At 36.3% G+C, this 15376-nt stretch overlaps 1 pseudogene, besides 2 other annotated features; it reads left to right on the top strand.

The window, feature by feature from the left end:
* Positions 1–5577: 5577 nt before the first annotated feature.
* LOC643381 (zinc finger protein 614 pseudogene) lies at positions 5578–7730 on the top strand (annotated as a pseudogene).
* Positions 11081–11281: a silencer, noted in NCBI's record as "peak1424 fragment used in MPRA reporter construct". NCBI's record gives its function as "represses an SCP1 promoter by STARR-seq MPRAs in K562 erythroleukemia cells {active_cell/tissue: K562}" and the evidence as "EXISTENCE:reporter gene assay evidence [ECO:0000049][PMID:32103011]".
* Positions 12381–12581: a silencer, noted in NCBI's record as "peak1423 fragment used in MPRA reporter construct". NCBI's record gives its function as "represses an SCP1 promoter by STARR-seq MPRAs in K562 erythroleukemia cells {active_cell/tissue: K562}" and the evidence as "EXISTENCE:reporter gene assay evidence [ECO:0000049][PMID:32103011]".

Below are 15376 nucleotides of genomic sequence, written 5' to 3'. Positions count from 1 at the left end.
TAGTGTATTGTCATTGGATTAGTGTATTTAGTATGTAAGAGGAATATAAATAATATGTTACTAGAGTAAGCACTTCACCAGTTATAGCACATGGACTCAATATTTTCTGTCATTCCTCCTCCCTCTCCCCTGGAAGCCAGGCTCTACAATTATTGGACCAGTGGGAAACACAGTGATACACTGCCATTTTCTGGGTCTAGGCTTTAAGAAACTGGCAGCTTCCATTTACTGTATCTTCAGATGTTTGTCCTTTGAGCCTAGCCACCATGCTGTTAGGAGAGGTTGTGTATACATGTTCTGGCTGATGGCCCTAGGTGAGGTCCCAGCTGATAATCAATCCTGACCTCCAGAACCTGAGCAAGGCTTGAGATCAACTCCAACCTCCAATCTCCAAACTACCTCTTATGACACTATTTTGAGCAGGAGGTATGATGCATTCACTGAGCTCTGCCTGAACTGCATATTTCTTAGCAATTTAATGATTATTATTGTTTATAGCAGTAAGTTTGGGACAGTTGTTGTACAGCAATAAATAACTGAAATCTACCATATAGAGCCCTAAGGAGCTCAGTGATGCCAACATTATGTGTTAAATGCTCAATATCCTTTTAGTGGGATAAAGCAGTATGTGAGGTTGAGTCAAATGAGATTTCCATTAAGTAAAAAAAGGGAAGTAAAAGGTAACAATATAAAATATCCTAAAGTTTGTTCTTACCTATGAGAGAAATTAGAGGAGGAAAGCTGTCTACTGAAGAGAAGATGCATTTTTTTCCAACAAGGAACAGAAAAGGCAGAACTGATCTGGCAGAGGATTTCAGTATTCCAGAAATATTTTGTTCCATTTAGTTGTAAAGGAAAATAACCCACCTTTAACAGAAATTAGAAGGAAGAAAGATAATTGCTCCTACAGAGATTAAAAAATTGTCTACTACATTGACAGAGAGGTAAGTCTAGGTTCATCTTCAGAGGTGAAAACTATATCCAACCCTTCTCCTGCAGGGAATATTTGTAGGACCTTCCATGGCCAGGCAGCTAGTTAGACTGATAATAATGTAATAGTCTACTTGCAAAAGTAGTGAGCCAACTCCAGTAGTTGCTCCATTGGAATTCAACATAACTCCTTGATATATTGATGTGACAAAACAGAACAGAGGACATAGGCTTGCTAAGTACAAAACTCTTAAAGCAGTAATGGTGTCCAGGAACCTGGTTTTTTTTCAAATCCAATTGACATTTCCCCCATTCTCCTTATACTTTAAGGCATCAACACATTATACATAAAGCATTAAGGATGATTTCCCAACACATCTCATGATCAAATGTATCTTGAGATGTGTTGAAGTTGGCTGAGGACACTCATGAGATAACTCAGTTAACACCAGCATGCCCACCCTCCATATCAGTTGTTTTATTTCTAACTAATACAACGATCATCTAGGAGTCACTAACCAAATGTCTTGCACTTTTGTGCCCCATATCAGGCTTCTCTTGAAATCTTCAGAAACAATAAGGGAATTGAGTGTTGATTTAATTAGTAATAGAAAAAGACGGAGGCTGAGGCAGGAGAATTGCTTGAACCCGGTGGGGCAGAGGCTGCAGTGGGTCAAGGTCATGCCACTGCACTCCAGCCTGGGTGACAGAGACTCCATCTCAAAAAAAAAAAAAAAAAAAGAACATGCTCTGAAAGTTCAGTCTGGAGTAGGTAGAGTTTCATCTCACACTTCCATGATAGCAACATGGTAAAGAAAAGCATTATTTAAAATAAAAACAAAAACATTTTATCTTTTAGACAAAATAAGAAAATTACAATGAGAATGTAAGAAAGTGTCACATTTCCGCTTATACTTTAATTCATGGAGAGCTCACAAAAATATTTTACTTCAATTATTTATATCTGATTCTCCCTCCATTATAACTGTGTGGATCCTAATCTTTTTTTAGACTCAACATATTTAATCACTCTTTAGTTACTTTAATTCCTTGCCTCTCCTTTTGCCACTTGACCACCTGTTCTTGGGAGGGACCTCAGTCTGAAAGAAAATGGGATCCAAGATCCAGAGGAAATGACTAGTCTCAGAAAGGAGAGAGCCAATGTCTTCCTTTTAGCTATATGAAAGGAAAGAAAGAACAGTGTGAAAACAACATCCACACTGTGAATTCCAGGGAGGAAAGACATAATAAAAACAAACGAGAAAATATATAGAATGCCAGATGATTACTATGAAGGAAAACAAAGCAGGGTAAGAGGAATGAAGAGTGATGGGGCTGAGTATATACAGTGGTCATTGTTACTGTAAGCAGTCAGGAAAAGTCTCTCTGAGAAGGTGACCTAAGAGAGAGATCTGAAGAGATTTACAAATGTAGCTACGTGAAACAAGTGCATTTTAAGTAGAGGGTCCAAGGCAAGAGCAGGCTCATGTTTTGTCAAATCAGCATCACTCAACATCTGGCACTTAGTGATAGGTGCATAATGAATAAGTTTTGAAGAGATGAGTAATTAGAATCCTTTTAAGATTAACAAAATACCTACTCATAGAAATGTCTTATATTTCCAGTTTAAAAATGTATCTAAATGATTTCCATAGTTTATATATCCTATAATTTTTCAGCAAATTTTCACTCTCAGTTTTGGATCTCACTTTATTTTCAAGTTTTATCTTTTGAGTTTTATCTACATCCTTAACTCTTAAGAAAATGTCCAAATAGGGCCAAAGCATATTGCTATAGTCAAGCATTATATATTTACTACCTAGATGTTTAAAGTTAGGTTTATAGTGGTTAATTACATTGATGTGTCCCTTTGAAAGCTATCTTTGCCCAGGAAACGTAGGTTCATGGTTAATTGAATCATTTTAAGGAAGCCCTCATGGTGCATGTGATACAAAGTCAGAGGATATGTGTGAATTTAGTTAAACCTATCCGGAGGGACAGCAAATGTCACATAATGTCACTTCTGCCACAACAAATTCTGTGTGATTTAGATGGAAGTGCCCTAATGAGGGGAATAAAGCAACTCTTGCAGTCTTAGGAAAGTGGAGTTGCTGTATATTCATATCTACTTCTCTATCCTCACTTAGTGCATACTGCTAACCATGGTTAGTTTTAAATGCAGCCCTATTTAATACATCACACAAAAACCTGAATAATATGACCCCTAGCTCTACATTACTTTCTTATCTTTTGCTTTACTCAGTCACATCCATTCTTCGTCTTCATCATGCTGATTATAGTTCCCAAATTTATGAGGCCATTGCATGCCTCTAAGCTTATAGGTTTTTTTGCACACAGCCTACTGTAAAGAGCCCCTCTCCATTACAATTAACTTTGTAAGACTGCATTGAAGGTTAATTTCAAAGCTCTATTGCCCAATGTAAAGTTGACTACTTCCTGTTTTGTACCTTTATAGCACCAAATACGGACTTCTAGTATTGACCCTATGTAATAGTATTTTGTTGCATATTATTATTTCTTCAATTCACCCTTTTTATCTGTCTCTCCCTGCTGGACTAGGACCCTGTGAGAGGTAGGCCTTCATTTTATTTATCTTCAAACCCCTAGCACTAATGGAGTATCTGATGGATGGTAGATATTTATGAATATTTTTGGTGAATATTTTGATCAATGAAGTCATACACTTAACAATAGCTATCAATATTGAGGAGCTATAAATAAATTCTAATTTTCACAAAACTCAGTAAGGTATGTAATACAACCTCTGCTTTACAATGAGAAAAATAAGTCTTACTGATTCGTTGATTTAATCCATATCAGAGTTAATAACCTCTTTTTCATTAAAATTGGTCCTTTAGAAACACACCTGCAGCTGGGCACGGTGGCTCACACCTGTAATCCCAGCACTTTGGGAGGCCGAGACGGGCGGATCACCTGAGGTCAGGAGTTCAAGACCAGCCTGACCAACATGGTGAAACCCCGTCTCTACTAAAAAAAATACAAAAATTAGCCAAGCATGGTGGCGCATGCCTGTACTCCCAGCTACTTGGGAGGCTGAGGCAGGCGAATGGCTTGAACCCAGGAGATGGAGGTTGCAGCGAGCTGGGATCGTGCCATTGTACTCCAGCCTGGGCAACAAGAGCAAAAACTCCATATCAAAAAAAAAATAAATAAATAAAAATAAATAAATAAATAAATAAATAAACACACCTGCAAGCAACCCCAATATTTCAACAGCTATACCTGTGGATAACTACTCTCTCACATTTCCTCCAACTCTTTATTTCACTCTTCAATTTCTTCTCTTTCTGTGCTAACACCCCTTTGTTTTAATCTCCTTTACTTGATTATTTCAAAGTCTCAGATTTCAGCAATGTATTACTAATGCTTCAGTCTTGGCATCACTTTCTGGTTCAATATTCCACCAGCTGTCTCCTATTTCTGATCGTATGCTCTCTTGCACAAGGCTGAGTCTTGCAGGCAGTCTGGATATCATGTTACAACAGCATACTGATAATACCCTTCTTATTTGGTAACGTTCAAGAAAACCATACTTACTTTTCTATGGCAATCATCTTTCAAGACTTTTATCAGTTTTTTTTTTTCATTTCCTGCACTTCAGTTAAAATCCTACTCCTTAGCCAAAAAAAAAAGTAGTATGTTTTTATATGTTATTACCTAGTACATTTGTAATATTACAGCACAGATGATTTATTTGATGGCATCTTCTTCCAGATACTATCTGTTATCCTATATTTTTATTTCTCTTTTGATTATTTTGTGAGGTATTACTCTACCTCAACTTCAATTTTTCTTGATTCCAAAGTCATTTTAGAATATTATATTGCCATTGCTTTTTGTCACACTAAGTCAAATTAAGGAATCTTCAATATATGGATATTTACTTGAAAGAGTCTCATAGCAAAGTTTCCAAAATGTGTTCTCAGTGATACAAAACTCTATTTCTAAAGCAATATCTAAGTGCCTATGTTTTATATCACAAATTTTATAGGGTATTGATAACAACTCAAGTGCAATAACTCTAACAAGAACTATCTTGTTTTTAAGCAAAACAACATATATTTTTAAGCATACCAATATATAAAACTGCAGATACGTTTCAGTTGCATATAAGTCACTGACAGTATAGGTGGCTGTGGGTCACCCAGATACGAATTAAATTATGTGCTTTAATACTATCGGAACAACTGGCACCGCCATCTTTTTTCCCCCAACCGGCTGAATAGAATGCCACTGCGCTGTGTTGGCCTTAGCTGGGCACCCGACCCTTAAAGCTTACATGGTTAGCCCAGCGCTGTTGAGTGTCCCTGGCAACAAAGAGAGAAAGGCACTGAGGTGGCCAAGAGTGATTTCCACAGCCATTATAGCCGCTCCTGTCCGGTACTCTGCAATGGGCGCAGCCGTGTGACCTCGCAGAGCGGCGCCCGCAGTCGAACTCGCGATCCCGGACTAGCTCTGTGGTCCACGCCTCACTCCATCATCGTCACCGCTCAGCGTCCCGTAGGCCGCGCAGGAGTGCATCTGAATAGGAAGCGGTTTCGGACATGGATGCCATGTTTTGTCACTGCCAGTAGTGTCTGGAGAGATTCGGGTGCAGCCCTCAGGTCCTGGCTCCCAAAAGCAAGATAACTCAAGTGAAGCAATGACGGAAGAAGAAGGAGGTTGCTGGCCTTGGATATCATCATTTTCTGGGGACAACTTTACGTGGACACTAATATTTCTGACTAGGAAAAGTTCATGGAAAATGCAGAAGAGACAAAGATGTATAGTCTATGTTATCCACTATTTTCTGACCACAAAAGAAAATGATCAAGACCCAGAATCACTGACCCTGGAGGATGTGGCTGTTGAATTCAGCCGGGAGGAGTGGCAGCTCCTGGAACACTGCTCAGAAGGACCTGTACCAGGATGTGATGGTGGAGAACTCTAACCACCTGGTATCACTGGGGTATCAAACTAGCAAACCAGATGCACTCTCCAAGTTGGCGCATGGATGGGAACCATTGAAAACAGATGCTAAAGTCCAGAATAAAAATTGTCCAGGAATCAGGAAAGTTGACAGTCATCTGCAAGAGCACTCTCCAAACCAGTGATTTCTGAAGAGCATGCAGCAATGCAGTGGACAGAATGCATTTAGAAATATTGTACATCTCAGCAAGACACATTTTTCTCTAGTGCAAAATCATAATACATTTGACTTGTACAGAAAAACATTGAAATCAATTTTAAGTTTAATCAACCAGAAGAGAAGACATGGAATAAATAACCTTGTGGAGTTTATTGGAGGTGAGAAAACCCTTCTACATGATAAGCATGAACATACGAATACTAAAACTAGATTTTCTGAAAATGCAAATGGATCCATACTAAATTCCAAGTCTTTAAGCATCAGAGGACTCAGAAAATTGAGAAACTCCATGCATTCATTGAATGTGAGCAAACCTTCCTCTGAAGTCTCAGCTCATTTACCACGAGAACATTCACATAGAAGAGAATCCTGGAGGTGGTCAATGTGAGAAATTGTCCAGAAGTGTCCTGTTCACTAAGCATCTGAAAACTAATATAGGGGACAAAATCTGTATACCCAATCAATATAGAACAGGCTCTACTGTGAAGAGTATTCTCATTGCACATCAACAAACTTATACAGAAGAGAAATCCTATATGTACTGTGAGTGTGGAAAGGGCTTTACAATGAAGCGCTATCTAATTGCTCATCAGCGAACTTGTAGTGGAGAGAAACCTTATGTGTGCAATGAATGTGGAAAAGGTTTCACTGTGAAGATCAATCTCATTGTACATCAGTGAATTCATACAGGGGGAGAAACCCTATATATTCAGTGAATGTAGAAAAGGCTTCACCCAGAAGCGCTACCTTGTTGTACATCAGCAAACTCATACTGGAGAGAGACCCCATATATGCAGTGAATGTGGAAAAGGCTTTACTGTGAAGAGCAATCTCATTGTACATCAGTGCTCCCGTACAGGAGAAAAATCTTATATATGCAGCTAATGTGGAAAAGCCTTCACTGTCAAACGCACTCGCATTATACATCAGTGAACTCATACAGGAGAGAAATCTTACATATGCAATTAATGTGGTAAAGGTTTCACCACAAAGTGCACTCTTATTATACATCACCGAACTCACACAGGAGAAAAACCTTATGAATGCAATGACGTGGTAAAGCCTTCAGCCAGAAAATATGGCTCATACAATGTGAGAGATGTCATACAGGAAAGAATCCCTTTGTATGTACTGAGTGTGGAAAATCCTATTCACACAAATATAGTCTCATTACCCATCAGAGAATTCACACAGGAGAGAAACCTTATGAGTGCAATGAATGTGGAAAAGCCTTCACCACAAAGTCAGTACTCAATGTACATCAAAGAACGCATACAGGAGAGAGGCCCTATGGATGCAGTGATTGTGAGAAAGGCTTCTTCCACTCATCAAACCTTGTCAAATATAAGAAGATGCACACAAGAGAAAGGGGTAGAATCAGTCAAGTTGAAAATTCCTGTAATGGAGAGTCACAGCTCCTTCCTTACAAGTGAACTCATGCAGAATGAAAACCCTACTAGTGCGGCGACTGTGGAAATGCCTTTTGTGGCAACTCAAACATCAGTGTGTTTCTAGCAAATCGGAACATAAACATGGTGCTGCCTGTTGTCAGATGTGTGCCCTCAGGAGGTAAAATAATTTGCCCTAGAGATAAACTTGATGAATACAGTAAATAAGGTAGTGCCTTTAGTGGTCTTTTACCTCACATTTTCTGTCAATGAAAACATGTTGAATAAACTATAATATATTCATGTGAAAAAAATAAACTATTGAAGTCTAAGAAGTAAGTCAATTGTAGACTCAAGTGTCACTTGTTCTTAATGAATCCAAATAACAGAGCAAGTGCCCAGTTAGCATCCTTATGAAGCTAGTAGTCCAATAAATTGTCAGGCAGGGCACAGCAGTCAGGTGAAAGGGCAACTGTGTTCTTAGCATTTAGGAGAAGTCTCAGAAAAGACGTTTTGTGACAGATACACACTTTGAAAAGCGTTGTTTGCTTTTGCATTTAGCTGTACTATACATAGTTGGCTTTTTCGTTGTTGTTGTTGTTAAAGGCAGCCCTTTTCCAGTCTCTGACTAGTTTGTCATAGACAGAATTATCTGACAAGGACATCTACTCTGAATGGTCTGAAAAACCTAGATAAGGACTTTGAAGCCCTAATTATTCTGAGCTAGTCCTCTAGCCTCTGGAATCCTGCTGAAGGATATTATAAACCATTAAGTGGTAGATGACAGTATTTGTGTGGCCATGTGTTGTGTGTATTGTGTGTGTTTTCCTTTGTCCTTATTTTCTACAGGGGTGCTGATTATAAGAATTTAGAGGTTTTCCCTTTAATCAAACAACATTTTATAGATATCCTTGACAAATTTTTTTTCAGAAAAACAAATTTTTACCAAATTTTAATACACATGCGGTTTATGTAGAGCATGCATTATGAAGAAGATCAGAACTTTTTTGACACTGTATAGAAAAGTTAAATTAATTATTCACTCAGTACTTTCCAATTAGTTATTTTAAATTGTGGAGACAGAATTTATGAGTATAAAATGAATTTTCAGATTTTTGAATAAAATATTTCTTGAAAAATTATTACAGTTAGTAAACATTAATCTACCACTGTAAACATAATTTTAGGTATTAAAGAGAAATATAAAAGCATAACTCTGACAGTTTATAAAGAAAGAAATAGTTTCCAGTTCATCAGTTTATTTCTTACTACTGTTCTCTGTGAAGTGATATATCAATGGAATCATTTTACAGAAGCAAACTATTCAAAAACAACTACATGCTGAGGTTTCATATCTTTGCAAATAAAAACTAATTTATGAATCAACTCATTTTTATGGAAAGTCTATTTTTTGCCAAGTATTTTCCACAGGCATATACAAGATTGACCTGGTCACTGCCCTCATGGAAACCCAGATAATTAAATGAGATGTAAAGAGTACTACTATGGAGCTTTTCATAATGCCCCCAAACAGGTACTGAACTTATTCTATAGTGTTACAGTAAGATTCTCAGGAAAACAGTTTTATTTTATTTTTATTATGTTTGGTTATTATTGTTTTATTAGGTTTGGTTATTATTTTATCCCAACCCCATCCCAGTATATGATAAATAAAAGTAATAGCAGCAAAAGAATAAAAGGTATAGAAGAAGTGAAAGACAATATGAATGTTCTAGATAGAGACCAGTGTAGAAAAAAATAAAACAAAAATGGATATTTAAAACATTATAAGTAGTAATACATGACAGCAACTTATCATGAGAAGCAAAGTGTGAGGTAGTGATTACCTCACAGTAGGTACTCACCAAAGATGTGCTGCTGTCCTTCAAGTCCTGGTGATGTAGCCTGAGAAGTTAAAGACATGAGTTTTGAGACAAAAATAAGTCAGACCGTCAAAGATATTCCAAACCATATGTCTTAGTCAAAATAGATAGATAGACTGTACTAAAATAATGTATAAAACCCCAATTCTTAAAAGATTAACACACTAAAAATGTATCTCTCACATACACCTGACCCCCACATACCTCAGAGTGCCCTTCCTTCTTATACCTATGCCATCTGGAATACAGGGCTTCAAGGTAGCCACAGAAGAGAAAGGAAGTTGGATTGTTGTGAAGTGTTTAAGTAGCCAAGCCTAGAAGTTGCTTGCCTTAGTTTCACAGCTTCTGTCCACCTTCCAGTCGTCAACACACTATTACTTCACTTGCTCCAGATATTATTGCAAGAGAGGATTGGGAATGTATTCTCTATGCCCCAAAAGATGTTGTGTGAACACCAAGCATTGTCTGCACCAAATCATATTAAGTCTAAATGTTGCTATTAATAAAGTTGATGAATTATGTGCATTTATAATGAGACTAGCATGGTGAGGAATGGAAAATGCAGTCTAAACACTAGAGAAACTCTTTTTGGTATGATCCTCCACATAGAGTTTAATCACTCCATTTAGGAGTCTCTTGCTATAAGAATAATGTAGTAAAAGCATTTATAAGTAATTTTTAGAATAATTAAAGTGATGTGAAGATGTTTATATGAGGACTAATGAAAAGCTTGAAATGATCAAATTAACAGAAGTATTAATCTGAAAATATTTCTGGTACTAATAATTTCTTAGAACAGTTTTCAAGGAAAAAATGGGCATTATTGCAATAAGCATAAATGATATGTTTTATGAATCAGCCTCAGTATTTCATAGTAAAACTGTTTATCCTTAGCTTTACCTTTGTATATTTCTTTTTGTACATTTGTACATTTCTTTTTCAAAAGATACTGTAAAGTTTTCTACAGGAAGCAAATAAATTTTTAAATCAAGCTTATATAGTTTAATGTAACTAATACCAAACAATATTTTTATGCTTACTAATGATTTTTCTTAACTGGACATATATTGACACTGAATAAGGATGAATAAGAAGATGTATTTTCACATTTGAGAATGAAATTTATACATAACCACATCAAAGTCTGGCAAGAATGTGAGTGAGTCAGAATTAATATATTCTTCTAGGAGATTGATGACTGTATATAGTTTGGGGAATGTGGTATGAAAATGTATTATTATGTACTTATAGCAATCCTACCCTTCAAAAATCTATCCTATAGAATTAAAAGCATCAGTATGTAAGGCAATATGTATTAGTTTTGCAGTGGCAATGAAAGAATAATAATAATTGACTTTAATAACCATCTCAATAAATTTTATTACACATATACCGTGGAATAGGATACATCTAATAAAGAGAATTTCCTTTTGTCTTTTGCTCCAGAAGGATATTCATTATGATGCAGGATGTTTTTGCTCCTTAGCTCAGCTAAAATATGGGTTCTTGTCTCATGAACAGGAAAAAGTAATCATGTGGACATGTTGAAAGGTGAGGAAAGCGGAATTTATTAAAAGAAAGCTCTCGGCAAAAAAAGAGGGGGTCCTGCCAACAGGCTCCCACTTCAAGATTGAATACCAGGCTGCCACACATGAGCTGAAGAGGCCAGGCTCCTCCCCGCTGCAAAAGGCACAAATTTCCGGTGGTTCCACCCCATTATCCCAGTGAGCAGGCGGGTCCTTAGTTTGAGCCACTCCACATTGCTTTATCTCCCTTAATCTCATGTGTTAAACTACAGAATTTTTCACCATGGGCATGTTTAGGCAAGCCTCCTGTGCACAATCACCTGGGCAGCATTTGGTTGTCTCCTGTCTCTGTCAATAGTTTATAGTGAAACATGAAAAGGGAGTTGCTGGGAACCTAAATAGTAAAATAGACTTTATAAGTAACTTGATACAAATATATCTGTGCATACACATGATTAGAATTGTATATTTATGACATAAGTTGTAGAGGGTGACATTATACTTGACTCTTAATACCTATTAATTTAAAAGCTGAGATTGGGAGTGAAAAAGATAAAATGTAGCAGACCAAAAAAGGTGACAACATTGTAGCAAATAATATTTTATCCAGTGAAAATGCAATACAAGATCCAATCTATCATATTGTCTGAAATATATTAATATGGTTAAGAACAAAACCTGGAATATTACATGTACAAATGAACATTTATTTATTTAGCTGACTGGGAGGTGGGAAGTATATGTCTTGAAATTTTATTGCTTTAATATTTTCAACAATCAAGTGCCATTATTTTCTTTAAAAATAAATACATCAAATATTCATGAAAACAGTTTTACATTACGATGCATGTTTGAAACTTTGTTTGTCTGTGCTTTTTATATACTCTCAGCATGGGAACCTTGTTTTTTAAATACATTCTACTATTGCCCTGAAATATACCAGTATCATGGATTACACCCCACTGTTATTTAATACTAGCTCAGTGGCTACGGTAATGATGAGGAGGGAAAAATTTGACTTTCACAAAACTTTCAAAATTTTGACCCCCTCAACCCCCCATCAAAATCTGTCAAAATTGTTGCCTCCTTCAGGTCCTTTTTTATATTCTGTCAGTAAATATGTCAAAACCCAGTTTTTCTTATTCGTATGAATTTGCTGAAGACATTTCCCCAAGCATCTAGCTCTGAGTTCTGTTAGATAAAAAATCACAGATATGTGAACTCTGAATAAAATACAGCAATTTTAAGTAATATGGTAATTTTTTTAGTGAGAATCTATCACACAAAAACATATACAGAGCAAAAGCTAAGGCTGTTAGGCTATCAAAACCTCTTCCTCTTTTTAGAAGCACTTTCCCCACCTAAATACTTTCACACCAGTGGCATAGTCCCTAAAATATGGGACTTGAAGGAGATACTGACCTTGTGTGCTCCTGGTCAAAGGGACCTTCCTTTTTTGTAAATCTCAGAACTAAAAAATGCAACAATGTCTGTCCCCAGTAATTCACATTACAGAAGGATCATCTGTGCCTACAGGTGCCTGTGAGTTTTCAGCATACTTCAGATAGTGCATTTTCAAAGGCCAGCTGCCTTCTATCAAGGCTTTGAAGAAAGGCTCTCAGAAGCTGCCTGAGAGTAGTTTCCAGAAAATCTGTTAGTTATCAGCCCAAATAAACAATCTGATTTCTCAACTTTTAAGCTGCTAGTTTTCAGAAGCAACTAGTTAATTAACCTATCAAAACATCTGTTAATAAAGTTAGATAAAATAAAATGTACTTAGATGCTTCTAAAAATTGTGCTATTCTGTTTCCAGGGTATGTTTTCAACTCAACAAACAAATTTTGAGCTTGTACAGTGGGAAGGAAATAGCCGAGTCCTTAAAAAGTAAAGGAAAGAATACATTATTGATGAGTGCCCATGGTTTATCACATTAAAGTTTACCTGTAGTGACTTTTCCTACACATTTAAGAGACGTGCTAGGATCATTCCAAGGAATAAATCTAAGTAAATAATGCATTTCCACCTTGTGCTCTGATTTACACAGACGCACACACACATGCAAACATACACACACACAAATCATATACATTGAGTCTTACACACAGATGATTGTTCGAAAGAACAGAAGCAGAAAAAAAAAAAGAAAAAGAAGCTTGAAAATCTAATTTTAAATACGAAGGATTAACAATTTGTTAAATGAGCATATAATTGTATTTGTTACTGCTAATTGTCAGCACCAGTATCTGATAAACTGATGAAGACAGGAGCAGTTCAGTTCTTTAAGAGTTCAGTTACCCAAAGTGATTCACCTCCCAGGAACAGAAGAGTTTGACACAAAATGAAAAATAGCAGCGGCATGCCAACCCAAGGTTAAAGGGACAAACGATTGAAATAGAGAAGATGATGAAATAGAGAAGAAGACAGCTATCCCAAGCCTGTTCTTGGTTTTTCTAGGTAGACATTCCAATGAACTTACCTATTATGAAAAAGTGAGATTGAAAAGTAACTACTCTAGGTCATTATGTATTGATTTCTTATTTATCTCCATGTGATAAATTTATATGTGACAAATTGAAGTGAATGCAAATAATTAATGCAAGTTAAACAGCAGTCATTTTTATGTACTGCACATAATTTGGACCGATATTATTACAGCCTTATAAGAATAATTATATCTACAAAATACCTTAGTGCATTATTCCATTTATAATAACAAGCAGGAGGGTAGTGAGTTTTCGTCATGCTTAACATCTGGTATAAACCTCTATGAAATCTAGATTTAAAATGAAAGCACAAAAGTTGGCTAACATTTTAAAAGGAAAATCTGCTGGTCTATCTCTGCAGTTCACCTGCCTTACAACTACAAATGTCTAGACTTTTGATACTTCTTAAATCAAATGTCTTGATACTTCTTGTATATGCCTAACTATCCTTTATGTATGTATTGAACTTTGCTATTACAGAGTATTACATTAAACTGTCATCTTGCAGAGATTATTAATTTTGACTAGTTTCTATCCATCTGCACATTACATACTACCCTCTATCACAGTGTTTGACAATCATGCCATGTTGAGGATAACCATAATTTAGAAAATGTTAATTATCATTTCTACTTCTAATCTAAAATGTCCCAGAGCCATGGTTTCACTGATACAAAAAAAATAGTAAACACTAAAATATAATTGCATTCTGTTCTGCAGGGGAATGTAACATTTATTAAAAATAAATAAAATGTATTATAGAAAATCCTGGTTAGTCTCAAGACAACTCATGGGTACCCTGTGAAATAATGTTGTGTACTAATCTTATCATATTTTCAGTGAAGAATTTTCTTCTTTTTATACCCTTAGAGCTCTCTTCTCCTATTGCTGAGGAAATGAGGAGCTGCTGTCTTCTCCCCTCTTGCATCCCGTAGTTTGGAGAAGAAAATTCTGAGATATTGGGTTATGAAGTGGAGATTAAGATGAAGGCCTGAAAATCACTGGAAAGAGAAGCAGATTAGTCTTCTTAAAAAGCTCTCCTGCTGCTACTTCCTCCATAATCCTCTTCCATTAATTAATGAACTGAATGACTGCATTGGTAGTGAAAAAGTTCTTCAACAAATATTAATGAATAATTCCACTGGGCCAAGAGGTAGGCTAGATTCTAGAGTATTATGAATAATCAATCTCCAGGCAAAAAGAAGTTCTGCCAATTGGGCAAATAATGCAACATCACATATAATATGGCAGGTTAATTAGCACAGTATATGGTAGAGAGGCAAACTGCTGAGACAGTAGAGATTTATTCATAAGAGTTGATTTAGAGTATACGGTATATGCCCTTCAAATGTAGATGAGAGAGCTTAAAATTAAATTTCTACTCCCGCCCTGTCCAAATTTTAAAAAGAAGAATATAATTATTTTCAAGTGTAACATGATAAATTATTTAGGGAAAAGTACCCTGTCACAAGAGTTAGAGGTCAGCATTTACTTTTCCCAAAATTCCATTGAGGAGAATTATTTTAAATTCTCGCTTTAAGTATGTGGTAGAAGGAAGAAATAGCGGGAGATACTTTGAGTAAGTAAAGTAAACGTTGCTGGAGCTGAGGGTGAGTTTAACGTACCCTGACGCTAGAGAGAAGTTTAGGGAAGAAATGCTGGTCAGCAGTATTTTATGATGAGATCTCTTGGTGGGGAAATTTTCATGGAGAGCTAAATCAGGCTCAGATAAACAGAGTCCTAGAAGGGAAGCTCTGAAGCTGCCCATAAAACAGAAGATTGTCACGAGAAACATTTAGACTGGGATCTGGCTCTTCCTCTAGATTTTTAGAACACAAAAATCTGAGATACTCTGATGTGGTTGTGGAGGAGTGAATCAAGTTTGGAGGAGATGTAATTTGATTTAAACAAAGGAGTGTGACATATCATATGTCATATATATACACACACTATATATACACACACACACACATCTTATGCATATATATATATATAT

This window comes from Homo sapiens, chromosome 11 (genome assembly GCF_000001405.40).
Source record: "Homo sapiens chromosome 11, GRCh38.p14 Primary Assembly".
NCBI classification, from domain to species: Eukaryota; Metazoa; Chordata; class Mammalia; order Primates; family Hominidae; genus Homo; species Homo sapiens.
This window is presented reverse-complemented; position numbering and strand designations above follow the sequence as displayed.